This window comes from Homo sapiens, chromosome 7 (assembly GCF_000001405.40).
Source record: "Homo sapiens chromosome 7, GRCh38.p14 Primary Assembly".
NCBI classification, from domain to species: domain Eukaryota; kingdom Metazoa; phylum Chordata; class Mammalia; order Primates; family Hominidae; genus Homo; species Homo sapiens.
In genome coordinates this window covers 30856917-30872224 of record NC_000007.14, presented here as the reverse complement: position 1 = coordinate 30872224, position 15308 = coordinate 30856917, and the positions used below count along the sequence as shown (strand labels likewise).

General features: G+C 53.0%; 1 protein-coding gene and 1 long non-coding RNA gene across 2 annotated transcripts in view, besides 1 other annotated feature; both read right to left on the bottom strand.

Annotated features, from left to right (window-relative positions):
* Positions 1-15308, bottom strand: part of INMT-MINDY4 (INMT-MINDY4 readthrough (NMD candidate)) — a 140253-nt gene that overhangs the window by 20163 nt on the left and 104782 nt on the right. The window contains exon 15 of the long non-coding RNA NR_037598.1: positions 12901-12968. This is a non-coding gene — a long non-coding RNA (INMT-MINDY4 readthrough (NMD candidate)). The remainder of the gene's footprint in view (positions 1-12900; positions 12969-15308) is intronic.
* The window catches only part of MINDY4 (MINDY lysine 48 deubiquitinase 4), a 120971-nt gene that overhangs the window by 20163 nt on the left and 85500 nt on the right, over positions 1-15308 (bottom strand). Inside the window, exon 13 of the mRNA NM_032222.3 lies at positions 12901-12968. Coding sequence (NP_115598.2) covers positions 12901-12968 — 68 coding nt within the window. The remainder of the gene's footprint in view (positions 1-12900; positions 12969-15308) is intronic.
* Positions 10367-10526: a silencer, noted in NCBI's record as "fragment chr7:30901315-30901474 (GRCh37/hg19 assembly coordinates)". NCBI's record gives its function as "represses an EF-1alpha promoter that drives an FKBP-Casp9 reporter gene in an ReSE screen in HepG2 liver carcinoma cells {active_cell/tissue: HepG2}" and the evidence as "EXISTENCE:reporter gene assay evidence [ECO:0000049][PMID:32094911]".

The following is a 15308-nucleotide window of genomic DNA, read 5'->3' as shown; positions in this document are numbered from 1 at the left end:
ATTGTTAGCACAGCTCTGCCTGACCCAGGTTGCAAACCTCGCTAGGTGACCAGGCGCTCCCCTTAGGTTCCAGGCTAAGACCCAGAATTCCAGATTTGGTGGGAACCTGAGCGCTCTGTTCTGTGCCCTCCACGGAGGAGGCTCCCACCCAGAAGGGATGGGGCTAGAGCCCAGGCCTCCTAGAGTAGAGCTCACTGCATTCTCTGGGCAATGGCCTCCACTCCAGCCGCACCAGGGCTCTGCCTACACTAGAGAACAGCGACTGAAGCGTGACACGGTAGAGAGGACCCTGGGTTTGGAATCCAGTGTCCTGAATTCACATCCCAACTGTCACTACCAATGGTGTAGACTGAGGAACCCTCTTCCACCTCTGAGCCTCAGTCTGCCAGCCTGTAAAATGGGAGGAATGGACTCTAATGTTTCCTTGAGTTATAGAGTAACAGTCACCACCACCTGCTCCTGCACCAGGCACTGTACGCACATTATTCCCTAAAACCCTTTGAGAAAACCAAGCCTCAGAAAAGGGATGTCTTGCTCAAGGGTGCCCAGCTCTGAGGCCTGTGCCCCCACCCCCTGGTACCACTGTGGTTCCACCCTCAGAATGGAGTCCTTCAAAAGATGCAAGGTGAAAACCTACTTTGCTGAAGACATTCCCCAAACTGAAAGAAATGGGCTGAGCACCGCTAGGAACCAGAACAATTCAGTATCCCGGTGAGCAGAGGTGTGCCACACGTGAGGCAGAAAACCCTCCCAAGTCTCCATCCTCCTTCCCGGCTTGCTGTCCTGCTAGGAAGCCTGCCATTAGGACATGGTTCCTTTTAGCCACCCCAATGTAACTCCCTCTGAGAGATGAAAACTCTGTTGAACAGAGCCCTGTAAGGAGCACACAGGGAAGGAGCTGCTATCTACTCACTGTGCTCAGCAGGTGGCAATTGCAACCCCCAGACCCGAATGAAGTAGGAATTCCTGTCTCTATTTTATAGATGTGGGAAGAAGCACAGAGAAGCTGGCTCTGGGGGGCAACGTGAGACCAGGGAGCCTGGGTCCCAGGTCTGTCCCCCCCACTTCTGCACATGACCCTGGGGGGAACACACAGCCCTGGGGGCACACACGACCCTGGGAGTCACAACTGAACCTGGCGGTCACATGCAGCCCTTGGGGGTACACACGACCCAGGGGGGTACACACAACCCTGGGGGCACACACGGCCCTGGGGGTCACACTGGACCCTGGGGGGCACACATTACCCTGAGAGGCACACTTGACTCTGGGAGGCACACACGACCCTGGGGGGCACACATGGCCCTGGGGGGGCACACACAGCCACCCAGCACTGTGTTCAGAGCCTGGCCCCCTTCCTTCAACCACACCCCAAAGAGAGAGGCCAGGTATAACATTTAGAGAGGAGACCCAGGGGTAGGAAGGGCTTAGCAATCAGAGCATTTATTTTTTCCTTTCAGTAGAGGAGAAGATAAACTTGGTCTCAATGTATGCTTTAAATCTAAGATCTGCCATAAGCCCACAAGCCTAAAATACATGCCTGAGTCTCTGTCTGCTTCCAAAACAAGTTTAGCAATTCCAGCTCCACAATACTTGGGGAAAACACTTGCTTGTGGTTTTTAATAACCATGGCCAAACACGGAAGGTTTATGGTCCACATGAGAAGATGAGCTGGGGTTACCCTTGCAGGAGCTTGCAGAGAACCACTAAGGCTTGGGGGTCTTCTGGGAAGGGTGGTTGAGGCTCACCCACCACAGACAGCCCAGCAGGCCTGGGAAGGAGCCAGCTGGGAGTGACTCATGGCAGAGCATAGCGCTTCGCTGGCGCTAGCTCAGGCAGAAGAATTGATGGAAATGCTCTCTGCAGCATATACAAGCATCTTCTGAAGAGAAGAAAATAACCTCAAAAGGGTCCTGAGGGGGGGCCGATAAGCATCACTGGCCCTATGCCACCTGGAGCTTTTAGAAGCAGTCCAATCTTCATAAGATCATTACCTCGTGTTCACCCAGCGGGCTCGAGAGCCTGCGTCAGCTGGGAGCAGGGGGACAGGCAGAAAGGACAATGGGAGGAAATGGTAATTGCATCCTTAGGTGCAAACACGATGGGAAATTCAGCAGTGCACTGAGATCTTAAAAGGGAGGAACATCTGCATTTCATATCAGGGCATTCGAGAGAGAGAGAGATGCCAAGGAGTGGCTTATGGTTTAAGAGATTTATAACTTTGGCAAATCTACAAACCTAGATGCCCAGACCTCCCTCTAGGGGAATAGGGGAATTCTCTGGAGAGCTGAGTGTGAGGAGTCCTTGAGCAGAGGAACAACAGCCTCAGCACTGCCCCAGAGAGAAGGCAATCCATATGGCTTAGTTCCAGCCTGCTGTGTGGCCTCGGTCTCCCCTCCTGCAGCACGAGGGGCCTGGAGAAGATGAGAGGTGTAATGGCATGAACTGCGTCCCCTTAAAATTCATATGTTGAAGTCCTAACCTCCAGCACCTGAGAATGTGTATTTGGAAATAGAGCCTTTCAAGGGGTGACTAACTTAAAATGAGGCCATTAGGGTAGGCCCTAATGCAATCTGACTTGGAAGAAGAGGAAATCTGGACACATAGAGGGACACCAAAGATGCACACTCACAAGGAAAAGATGAAGTGAGGACTCAGTGAGAAAGTGGCCACCTGCGAGCCCGGGAGAGAGGTCTGACAAGGTACCAACCCTCTGGCACCTTGATCTTGGACTTCTCACCTCCAGGGCTGTAAGACACGAATGTCTGTCATTATGGCAGCCCTAGAAACCAACACAAGTAGCCTCCAACATCTTTTTAGATTCAGAGCCCTTTCTTCAAATGCAATACTACAGGCAGAAGCCCATTACATGAAACATACGGGCTGAAGGCAGTGTGGAGGCTTGTCCCATCCTTCTCCTCCTCTATCAGCCCCTGGATCTCCAAGAACATGCAGCATCCTAGGAGCAGGGGCCACCTGAGCCACAGCTGTGACTGTCCCTTACCAAAGACTGACTTAACCATCCAGTCTAATGAGCAGCTGTCTCCTCCATGTCCTCCTGGGGGCTGGATGACCCTGGGCCCTCAGAGAATTCTGCACAGCCTGAGGAACCAGGCACCAAGCTGGATGACAGGAGCCAGGAGGGCCCAGAACCACACAAAATGGAAGCTGTCCTGCACTGGGGGCCCCTCCAGGGAGCAGAGCTTGCTGGGATTTCAATCCAATAAGCACAAAGGAGAGATGGGCTTGACCAGGGGGTGAAAACTCACAGAATAGGCTTGGCCCTGGCTGCCCTGGCTGCCCTGACACCAACCTCTGCAGCATTCTGGCAGCGAAGGGTCAGAACCCTGAACCAAAGGTCTGGGGTGATGACCCAGCCTCCAGGGATGCTTGGATGACCCAGCCTCCAGGGATGCCTGTATCACCCAAAGACAGAGAAGGAGGAATAGAGAGCTTTGCCCAGGATGCCAGCAAGGACCAAACCTCCCAACTCTGTCCACCATCAGAAGGTCCCTGAGATACTACGCTGTATCAAGAAACAGAACAAAGGGGATATCAGGGCTGGGAGAGTTTGCAAGGCTCAGAATTTTGCAGAAGGTCAGATGAATGCCCAGAGAGAGTACAGAACTGGCCCTGAGTTAGTGACAGATGTCAGCCCAGACTCAGGGCTCTCTGCTTCCCTTCTCCACCTGCCCTCTGTCCATACATCCCGGAAGGGGAAGAGGCTCTGCCACTGAGCAGGCTGCACAATGCATGGGCTTCGAATCTGCATAGTCTCAGGCACCTTCAAATGCATCTTTCTCTCAAAAGCCTTGTAAGGCCAGGAGGGTAAGACCACCATCTCTGTTTTACTGATGGGGAAACTGAGGTCCAGTCAGTAAAAAGGACTCGTGGTTTTGTGGTCACACAGAGTAGGCAGGACTAGGACTCTGTCCCTAGTACCAACATCACAGTGTCTGCTGTGGCCTGAAATATGGGATGATCAGCCAGGTCAGCCAGCTCCAAGCAAGCCCTAGAGTCCCAAAGCCCTACCCCTAGCCCCCACCATTGCTGGCTCAGGCACAGCTTGTCCCTTCATCTAAAAGCCTCCCTGTGTGAATCTGGGCATGTGGTATAAAAGTTTCTGAATAAGAAGGAAAGTAAGTCCAAGTGGCCTAGAGACCAGGTCCCAGCCTACAGTCACAGCCATTCACCTAACACCAGCGTCCACTCGGCCCCTGACTGGGTGAGTGACCTCAGGCATGTCCTGACCTCTCTCTCAGCTTGTGTCTTCACTTAGAAAGCCAGAGGACTGGAGCAAGAAATCTCTAGGGGCCTCCTAGGATGTGCACAAGTGTGCCTGGTCCATGACTCTATTGAAAACACCAAGCCTGAAGCAGGCAGTACTTACCCTGGGGAGACCCAACCAGCTATCCCCCCTCCACCTGACCACTAGGGCACCAGGCCCTGGAGGATCCCTGTCCTACCAGGCCAGCTCCTGCTTGCCACTCTCAGAAACTGACCCTTGACCACACTTCCCCCACCCACCAGCAGTGACCTCCAGAGATAACAGCCCTTTCGTGGGGTTTATATTGACTTTTAAGGACAACATCAATAGTGTAAGGGCAGCTGTGGTACAACCAAGAGAACTTGGGCTCTAAAGTCAGAGGGCCCTGGTCAAATCCAATTACTGCCACTTATCAGTTATTTCCCTCTCTGAGCCTCAGTCTCCCCATTTGCAATACAGGTACAATGATGCCTCCTTCTATTAAAGACTGCTGTGAGAACTGAATGAGATGAACTATATAAAGCATTTGGCATTCGGTAAATGTCACTTCCTTTTTCCTACTATAACAACCAGAATAACAAAAAACAAAACAAAACAAAAAACAATAACCAAGAGGTCATGATTCCTGCCATCTCAACCACTCATATCACGGCCAAGAACCCAGATTAAACCGAGACCTCCGAGCAGTTGAAATGGAGCTGTGAATATCTGAAGAGGATTTGGATACAGCGGATATCAACTGTTTTCCCAGGATGGCCAAGAGGGAGTAGACGATGAGTCAGAACCAATGGGTGTCAGGCCCCTTCTGCCACCTGCACTGCGTGACCTTTGGTAAATCGCTTTCCATTTCTGAGCCTCCAGTGTGTCATCCTGACAGGGATAACAATAATTACCTCAAAGGGCTGTTGCAATAAGGGACTAGACCATATCAGGTCTTGCAAACTGCAGAGTGCCCCACAGGCTAGAGGGTCAAAATTGTTTCCATTCTCAAAGCAGTAAGAGGAGAGGGCTAGGATGGGAGCCCAGGAGGCAGGGGGAGAGTTGGTGGAAGGCTCCGCAGGACGGAAAAAGAGGGACCTGCAAGGAGGAAGAAGGGAAAGCAGGGGCCCAGGCTCATCAGCAGCTGGCCAAAGCCCTTCCCAAGCTGCCTTCTGCCACCCACCTCTTCCCACCCACCATGTCCAGCTCCTTCCCTCCCAACTAGACCCTCTGCAACTGATCCCTGCAAACCCCCACCAGTGGCCTTTGCCTGCTTTGTTCTTGCTGCCTGCCAAAACCCTTCCCACTTATCCCTCAGAGCCCTGCTAAATGTCACCTCCTCTAAAATCTCACTCAACCCAGGGACAGAAATGCCCCATCTCTCCTCCGCTTCCTAAGGGTACCCACCAACTGCTTTTCACACACTGGTCTTGCCTCTCCAGGTGGCAAGGACTTTGAGGGCTAGAACTGGTCTCCAGACCCCGCAGGTGCACAGCAACTGTGCCCCTAAATGACATGAGCCTACCCACACCTACCCCAGGTGACACTGCATGTGAGAAAGGCCCTGGTGAACAGCTTCCAGGAGCTGGAAGAGGCAGGTGGAAGTGAGCACCCCACCCACACAGTTGAGGCTGGTCTGGCACAGGAGACCCTTTCAGCAGGTTAATTACCTCTCCCTCCTTCTGAGGCCTGTCCTCTTTCTCTGCGCACCTGGCCCTGCATGAACATGTAAGGTCCCTGGGTGAGTGGATAGGGGCAGGAGATGCACACAGGACCGAGGGTCTTGAGACCTCCCAGCTCTTCAGTGGCCTGGGTGTGGCCCCCCTTCTCAGCTGTACCAGGTGGACCCCTCCCACCCAGCTCTCAGGCTTGGTGTCCATGACAGAATGACTGTCCTCACAGCTCAGTGGCTGTGACTTGCCATCTCAGCAGCTTAGGGGTCTGGCCCAGGCACAGTTGGCTTGCTTTAGCCCAGCCCATGCCAGCTGCACTGCGAGAGGACAGCAGGTAGTCAAGCACCCAGCTGGTATGGGCCTATCTAGGGCCTCATTTGCCACCTCTCTTTCTAAGTCAGCAGACACAGCTGAGCAGCTCCTGTTACCCCTCCCACAGTCCAGGGAAGACGATGCAGGCACAGGGTCTTCGATTGAGAGCCAGGAGCCTCAGGTGATGCTGCCAACTGTGCCATTAACTGACCCCTCACTTCTCAAAGTTCCCACACCTGTAAATGAGAAAAGGGTTCCAGCCTGTGGGCCCATCCCTTGGGTTGCCACAAGACAACAAAGGCCTAAGATGGCAGCAAGGGCCCTTTCCCTCTCTCCTCCACCTCCAGCTCCCGCTGAGGCTAAGCCTCCAGATTCAGGTGTCTGCACAGGGTCTCCAGAGGAAGCGAGGCAGAGATCTACAGGACAGAATTTGGTTCCCTGTAAAGGGGCCTGGGGACAAAGGAGCAGGTGGCTCCCAGGGACGGGACCAGGGAGAGAGACAGAGTCAGTGGAAGGAAGTGGAGTCTCAGTGGTGGGCCCACTATTTCCATGACACTGGCATCCATGCCCCCGTGGGTCCACCTTCCATTGTCACCTTGGTCTCTTGAGACATTGCTGAAAATCTTCATTAGTGGGGCCTCTGCCCTAATCTGAATCAGTGTCAAAGTTCGGCTGGAGTTTATTGAGGAAGTTCCTCTTCTCCTGTTTCCCAGCTAAGCTTCAAAAGGTCTTAGCATGCTGGGTAGGAAGGACACTTACCCAACCCACCCTGCCTCACATGTGACCTGGGGGAAGATTCAGGTGAGAGAGGGCAAGTGAGCCACAAAGCCAGGTGTCGGTGCAGAGACGGGAGCCCATGGGTCAGGCTCCTGGTCTGGGTGGCTCTGTTCACACCTCATTATTCATTATTCTGGGCTGGCAGAGGCTCAGCAGAGTCCCAGGTAAGCTGACGAGCATCCCATGGACCCCTCCCGTTCAGAACAGCACACTTAAACCTCCAAGAGCCCGTGATTCTCAAGGGGAACAGCCCCTGTTCACATCTCACCCCACGAACCACCCACCCCCGTGATTCCCCCCAGAGGGTCTCTGACGGGGTGAGCACTGCCCACAATTGCTGGAACAGAAAGCTTGGTGATCTCTTTTCTCCATTACTGAGAGGAGCCTGGGGGCCTCCATGAAGGCTCAGCCCACCCCAAACCCACATCTGCTCTCCTGTTCTCAGATACCTGTTTCCTGACTCTGCCCTATCCCTTTGCTAGCAGATGTGGTGGCCTTCTCTGGGCAGTGACTGCCTTTTGGGGATACCCCATGTCCATATATATGTGATGGTGCAGCCCAGGCCTGGCCACGGCAATCACACCAGGAATGGCACCCAGCACCCAGCAGGCTGAGGAGCTGCTGGAGAAGGGCTCCCTTGAGCCCACCGTGCAGAAGGACCTTCCTGAGAATGCAGCTGGGACAGAGGAGCCAAAAGTGAAGAGACAAAAGAACAGACACCAATTCCCAAAGACAATGTCTGGGTTCCTGGATCCAGCCCCTCTTAAAGCCTGGGCTTCTGATAGGAATCAGTCAGTAGCTTTGTTTCTGCTTACACTGGCTGGGAATTGAGCTTCTGTCACTGTCTTTCCAACCAACACTCACAGTTGGCTTTTGTTTCAGGACTATTTGCACAAAGGAATCAACTATTTTGTTGCTGCCATTGCTTTTAATCTCTTGAGGAGAGTTACAAAGAGCCACAGAGTGACATGGCGTGGGTCCTGCCCAGCGTCATCCCTCACCCTCAGCACCTAGCTTGTGCTGTTCTAAAACTGTTTCAGCAAATGAGAAGCTACCACCTCTTCCGGACTTTCAAGACTGCCTTTGGGCAGCTGAACTTGCTGCTGTAATGAAGGCCAAGAATCTACTGCATGAAAAGGTTTTCACCCCCACTGGACCTTCTCAGGGCCTCAATGACCTGGCCAGGTCTGTGCTCCACTGAGGCACCAGAGCAGCCCATGCTCAGTGCTGCCCAGGTCTGGTTCAGAGCTGGTCCTGACCCCAGGACCCTGAGCATCCTTGGGGCTTGTGAGAGCTCCCTGGGGAAAGTTCTAGCCATGTGGTTTGAAAAGCAGCAAAGCTTGGCAAGCATGAAATCCTGCATGAGATTTACCGGAAGCAATTCGAGATCTTAGAAAAGAAAATAAACGGCTTGAAATCAAGTGGAAAAAAAACCTTCACAAGGCTTTGCACAGCCTGGGATAAACAAACCTCAAAGGTCTGTTTCTCGACTCTTCTTGGGGCCTCTGACAATGAAGTGGCCAGGCAGGCAGTGGTCGGCAGCACTCGGCTAGGTTTACATCTGTCCATGATGTCCTCACCCTGGCTCTGGTCTGGGTTAGGAATGGCCAACAGACAGGAGGCACTGACTTTGGTGCAAGGGCCAAAGAAGAGAAGCCTCCAGTGCCCAGGCATGAGTCAGAGAACCCTCACCAGGAGGGAGGAACGACTATGCCCTCTCCATCACACATCACAATCACATGCACATGTACACAATCAAGTCACCCTTCACACAATCTCCAACACAACCACCAACACCCATGTCATCTCACACCCGGCCATACAGTGTCACCAATCTCTCCCATCCGCACACACACTATCACACCACCACGAATGTACACATACACATGCTGTATTTGTAAAGAACTGGCTGGGTTTTCCCAGCCCACCACTCTGCTTCTCTCCAGCTGAACTGCAGTTGGTCCTGGAGACTCAGCTGTCTCTTTTTGCTACCAGGACATGTTTTCAATTGCCCAAAGTGGTAACAGATTGCCCTGAAATGGCATCAGAGGATTCTTTGGCAAAGCTGAATGTGAACCCCAGAACAGGAAGGCCCTCGGCGATCATCTGGTCCCGAGGTTTTTAAGCTGTGTATGCAGAGCTGGGGCTTCTCCAAAGGGGGGTCTCAGGGACAGTGGCTGGAGAGCAGGGGTTGGTGCTGGATTGGCAGGCTGGGGAGGGGGGCAGCAGGGGCCTCTCCCTCCCACCTCTGCCGCTCTAATCAAAGTCATTCCGCTGCATCTGCTTCACACAGTGAGCTTGAAAATAAAGCTTATTTGGGTAAAAAAAATCAGATTTTGTTTTCATTACAAACATAGTTTAAAAAAGCACCAGACTAACCCCTCCTGTTAGATAAAGAACCTAAGGCACAGGCTGGGTTAGCCACACGGCTGTGGGTGACTGAGCTGCGCTGAGGACCTAGGTATCCTGGTGCTTTTCTTGTGGTCAAGAAGTGAGTGCTTTCCTGTGACTTGCCACCTCACTGGGCTTCCCTGGACAAACCTAATGGAGCCTGAGGTGGGTGACATTTGCACCCAAGTGTCCAAATGTCTGTAGAGAAAGGCCTTTGCCAGCGGCTAGCCCCGGAGGCAGCAGGCAGAGGTGGGATTCCAGCCCCAGAACTGTTATCATTGCCCTGCGAATCACCGCAAACCTTCAGCAGAGCCTGGTATCCCTCAGAGAGCCAAGGCTGGAGGTGCCGGGATGCAGGGAGCGCCGCTGGAGTGCAGTGTGCCTGGCACGTGAGAGGAGCAGGCTGTTCTGGGGACTACTCTCTGGAAGGCCAGAGAATGGCTTATTCACGGGCGCACTCCCACATGCAGGAATGCTAGCACATTATCTGAAATAATTTCAGTGTGGCTGTCTCATGGGATCTGGGCAGTGCCACGACTGCCCGGGCTATTCCCATCCTTGCTGGCATTCCCGTCTTTCCTCTTCAGGAGTCTCCCCTGGGCTCCAGGTGGGGTAGGAGGGTTAGCTCCACTCAGATGCCCACATCTCCTGCAGGCCCTCGGGGGAAGCATGCAACAGTCAGGAGGGAGCACTGGAGGAGCCCCCAGGCAGCACAGGCTGCCCAAGGCCTGCCCTGTTCCTCACTTGAAGCCCTCAGTTTAACTACAAGCTTAACTAAAGTTCTTTTGAACTTGAACAAATCAGAGAGAGCTGGGTGTCTTCTCAAGTACACCTCTGAACTGCATGCCCCTGGGCGGGGCTTGGTCCCATGGTCCCTCCTCACACCCCCAGTGGCACTCAGCACAAGATGCTCTCGGTTGCTCTGGACATGCCTGCCAAGGGTGAGTGTCACCACAGAAGCCCCATCAGGAATTGCCGGACATCCCTGTGGCTGTGCCTACTGAGATGGCAGCACGGCCTCCACCACAGGGCCCCAGGCCAAGGCTGCAGGCAAGGAAACACAAGAAGACACACAGAGCCATCTGAGCTCCTGGGATACGGTTGGACCAGCCGTGGCCATTATTCCCGGCTTGTACCCACCAGGAGCTGTGCTAAGCACAGCTACATCTTATGAGGCAGGAATTCCCACTCCCACTTTAGAGGAAGAAACTCCAGCTCTATTCAGAGGAGTAGAGAGTCAGGCCTAAAACCAACCAACTTTTTCCAAAGTTCAGGTTTTCAAACAGCAAACCCAAAAAGCCAGCTCTAGGGCCAGATGGCCTGGGTGGGGCCCAAGGCCACCAGTTTTACTTGCTGTATAATCTTGAAGCCTACTCACCTCCCTCAGCCTTGCTTCCTCCTCTGAAAAACAGGGATGGTGACAGCACTCACAGCAGCACCCACCTAACAGGGCTGCTGTGGACTCGATGCGTTCATGTGCAGAATGTTAAGGCAAGGGGCCTGGCACATGGGAAGCTTCACAGACGCTATCCTTACCGCTGGCAATGAGACCTGCCTACACACTGTCGTCTTAGGAGAGGGGAAGGGGAGGCCACAGTGTAAGACAAAGCCCAATCCATGCCTGCCTGCCTGGCCCGAACACCATAGCAGGGCTCTATTTGGGCCCTCTGGGAGGCAGAGGCCTGTACTGCCCCAGGGGCCTTGACCATCTGCCTGCAGGACCCAGGGAAGGGCCTCAGATGTCCTGGAAGAACAGCTGGACTATGTGTCTCTGTGTGTGTCCATGTCTTTGTGAGTTTTCGTGTGTCTGTGTGTGTGTGTCTCTGTGTGTGGCCACGTATGTGCATCTGTATATCTGTGTGTATCCATGTTTGTCTTTGTGTATGTGTGTTGGCAGGGGTGTGACTTCAGGCCCATAAGCATGAGGCTGTGAAGGTCCAGCAGGGCAGCATTCCCCACACTAATTCCCCACAGGTGCCCAGCTTGATTGGAAAGGGTAGGGAGGGGGAAGAAGCAGCCCTAGTCCCCCAGCTGTGCACAACATGAAGACTGGCCTGGGCATGGAACCCTGAAGCCCCTTTCAGAGGGACAGGGCTACATGCAGGAGCATGCATGTAACAAGGCGCCCACTCCCAGTGACCACCAGAACTGACACACTCGAGCACAGAGCCCTAGACTCCCAGAGCCAGAGGGCCCCCGCATGGATGGGGGCGCTGAGACTGGCATCATTGAGCCTGGCCCTCCTGAGAGTGCAGCTTCCCCTCAGGGAGATCTGGAGACTCCCACCCAACCCGTCAGCCCAGAAATGAGCCAAACCAGGAGCAAACCCAGTCCTGGGGAGAAGGTGGTGCAGCTTATGGTCTCCATGCACGTGAGTCCACGCCAGGAATGAATCATATCATTATGGCAGGATTAGAAGTTGGAAAGCGCTGTGTACTCACACGCATTTAATAAGGTCAGAAGCAGCAAGCAGCAGGCAGCCTGGCGCACGAGGCCACAGAGCCCCCACTGTCCTCCCCCGAATCCACAGCAGAGGCCCCTGGAAACAGGGAGGGCGCCGACCAGACCCAACCAGGCCGGGAAAGAAGTGTCTCCTGCTGTGACCTCCCGCCCCTGGGCACCACAAGGCTACTCACCCTGCCTCCCCACTTCCCAGGGCCCACCTGCTGAGAGCTGTTCCCAAGTCCTACCCCACCTGCATCCCTCAAAGTAAGATTCACTCTCCCAGGACTCCAGGCCCCCAGGGCTCTGTCCTCTGCTTGAAAGTGAATGGGGCAATTGACTGTACTTTCCACAACCGTTCATGCGCTATTAATCTGCTACACTTCCTGGTGACATGCCCAGGTGACAAATACAGACAAAGAGGCCTAAAAAGCTCCTAGCAAATGAGCTTCATGGGGAAACTCCGGCTGTGGAGCAGGCTGGGGACCATGTTCCACCTGATACAGAGTCAGCATAGAGACCCTGCCAAAAGGGGTCAGGCAGGGGAGATTAGGACAAGCCGCCCTGCCACCTCTCCCTGCCTCCAGGGCCTCCTGGCCACCGCCCATTCACCACCCAGGATGCCAGCCTTGTCCACGCGACTGCAGGGCTGCCTTGGTCTACAGCGAGGCCTTCCTGTCCCGAGCTCTAGAGGGCCCTCAGCCATCTCCTGGGTCTCAGCCTCAATTGTCCATCCCCTGCACAAGTGCCAGGGGCATCCCCCTGAGTGCTCAAGTGTGCATGCACTGCAGTTCCAGGCAAGCTCCTCAAGGGCTGGTGGCGTGTCTTTCAGGTTGTCCACCACACACATGGTAGCCCTGGACACGTGTATATGTAGAATGCCACTACTTTCTCTCCTCCACCAGCAGACCTTCCCCTACTCCACTGCTTCATTCATCCTTTCCACAATACTCACAGAGCCCTCAACATGTGCCAAGCACCATCCTGGGCTCTAGCGAGGCAGCAGTGAACAAGACAGACCAGCCCAGCCCCAGGGAGTTGAGGGAGAAAGATACTCACAGCTCTGTAGACCTGGACAGGATGGCAGAAAGGGTGAGCAGGATGCAGCCATAGGGGCCCACTTCAAACTGGGAGGGGGAGAGAAAAATGAGCTCCATCCCATTTGCACCTCCCTCTTCCCAGCCCCACACCTCTGTGGGAGCCACACCCCAGGGAGCAGCCTGCCCTGAGCCAACTGCCTCCAGCCCAGCCCTGGGGTTGCTGGGTGGCCCGAAGGCTGACCTCCTAAAGGATGGGACATTGCAACAACCTGAATGACAATGACAGCAGAGCGAGGGTGATGCAGGGGCCACCAAAGAGAGCATCAGTGACCTCAGAGTCCTCAAAACTCACAAGACAGCAACAGTCATGGCCAGCTCCATTATGGTGCAAGCATCTAATGGGCATTATCACCCCGAACACTCTAACAGTCCTGGGGGACAGTACTATGATTACTGCCCTCTAGCATATGTGGAACTGAGGCTCAGAAACTGAGTGACCAGTTCAAGGCCACACAGCTTGTCAGCAGCACACTGGGACTCCAGGGATCTCTAATTCCAGATCCCTTACTCAGAAGAACTGTGCTGTGCTAAGAGCAGCAGAGAGCAGGTTTGGAGCAGAGTCAGGATCTGGTGAGGCGAAGGAGGCAGCCATGTAGATGCATGTCTTAAATTTATATATATATATATATATTTTTAAAACATCAACATTTTGGTATTTTGTTCATTGTGGATTTTTCTGATAAACTCTGATTTTTAAAAAAGATAGGTTTTGCTAATTTCTGAGATTTTTGGCACCCCCTTAGATTTTGCATCCAAAGTGAGTCCTCCTCCCAACTCTGGTTTGGAGCTGGTGTCCCGGGGCCTGACCGCCTAATTTAAATCCTCGCTCTGCCACTCCTTGCTATGTGACCATGGAAACACTCCTGGACTCCTCTATCCTCAGTCTTCTCATCTGTAAAAAGAGGGTAATAATCACAGCACCTACCCTTATCAAGTTGTGAAAATTACGTGAGTTAATCCTTATAAAGCATTTCAAACAGGGCCTGGCACCTGTGTTAGCTGTTAAAACAAAGCTGGCTCTGCCCTGCCCATCTGTCCAGTAAGCCCAGTGGGCCACAGCCTACTGGGATCGGCCATGTCACTTCTGCTCCCCGGAGAAACACCATCCCCACCTTCAAGTCAGTGTGAAGGCCTCACTCATTCCACTTTGGAAACCATGAACTGTGACTGAAGACACCGCCTGTTATAATAGTCAGTGTTCCTTATGTGTAATCACATTTTGGACTTAAAATTAGAAAAAAAAAATCCCAACTTGTTTCTCCTGGAACAGACAATGAAAATTATAAAACTTACCATGTTTACATTTTTGCCTTGGCTGCCAGGAAGCTCAGAGCCAAATATGGTGCTCTACTATGGTAACTATTGCAGCTCAAGCTTCTGATAAAATTACCTTTTCTTTTCCTCAAAATATACTCTTTATTGTCATCCAGGAATTCACTTGGTCAATTAGTCTTTTTAAAAAGATTGTATTGGTGAAATTTCTGTGCCAAGAGGATGCTCCTGGCTAAGGCTGTACTTGTTAACAAGGTGGATATGGCCGGGCGCGGTGGCTCACGCCTGTAATCCCAGCACTTTGGGAGGCCGAGGCGGGCGGATCACGAGGTCAGGAGATCGAGACCCCGTCTCTACTAAAAATACAAAAAATTAGCCGGGCGTGGTAGCGGGCGCCTGTAGTCCCAGCTACTCGGGAGGCTGAGGCAGGAGAATGGCGTGAACCCGGGAGGCGGAGCTTGCAGTGAGCCGAGATCGCGCCACTGCACTCCAGCCTGGGCGACAGAGCGAGACTCCGTCTCAAAAAAAAAAAAAAAAAAAAAAAAAAAAACAAGGTGGATATGGATCTCTCCTCTTGGGGAAATAACTTAGGGAAGAAAAAACAATAAGCACCTTGAAAAGGCTGGGAGAAGGGGTTCTGCCATGACAGAAATGCAGGCTCCTTCAAAAACACACAGGAAGGGCCTTCAACACAGACTTCAAGTTCGGGGAGGGAGTATCAAGGAAGGGTTTTTGGAGAAAGCGATGTCTGAACAGAAACCTAAGGGACAGTAAGGAATCAGAAAAGTGAACGTCGCTCCAAAAGGAGAAGCACGTGCAAAGGTCCACAGGCAAGAGAGGGCAAGCTGACTATGCGGGGGCACAGCAGAGCCCTGAGGACATCATTTACTTTTCAAAGCAACTTCCAGTCTTTTTTTGGAAGTAGGAATGGAATGAATGAATCAACAACAATGTTAAATCAACCTCGTCTTCATTCTGTGATCTCAGGCCAGCCACTTCATTTATGCTGCCCTCAGTTTCCTCTTTGCAAAATAAGAATAATGAAGACCCACCTGGCCTATTTCCTTGGCTTATGGTGCACATTCTTGAGACAAT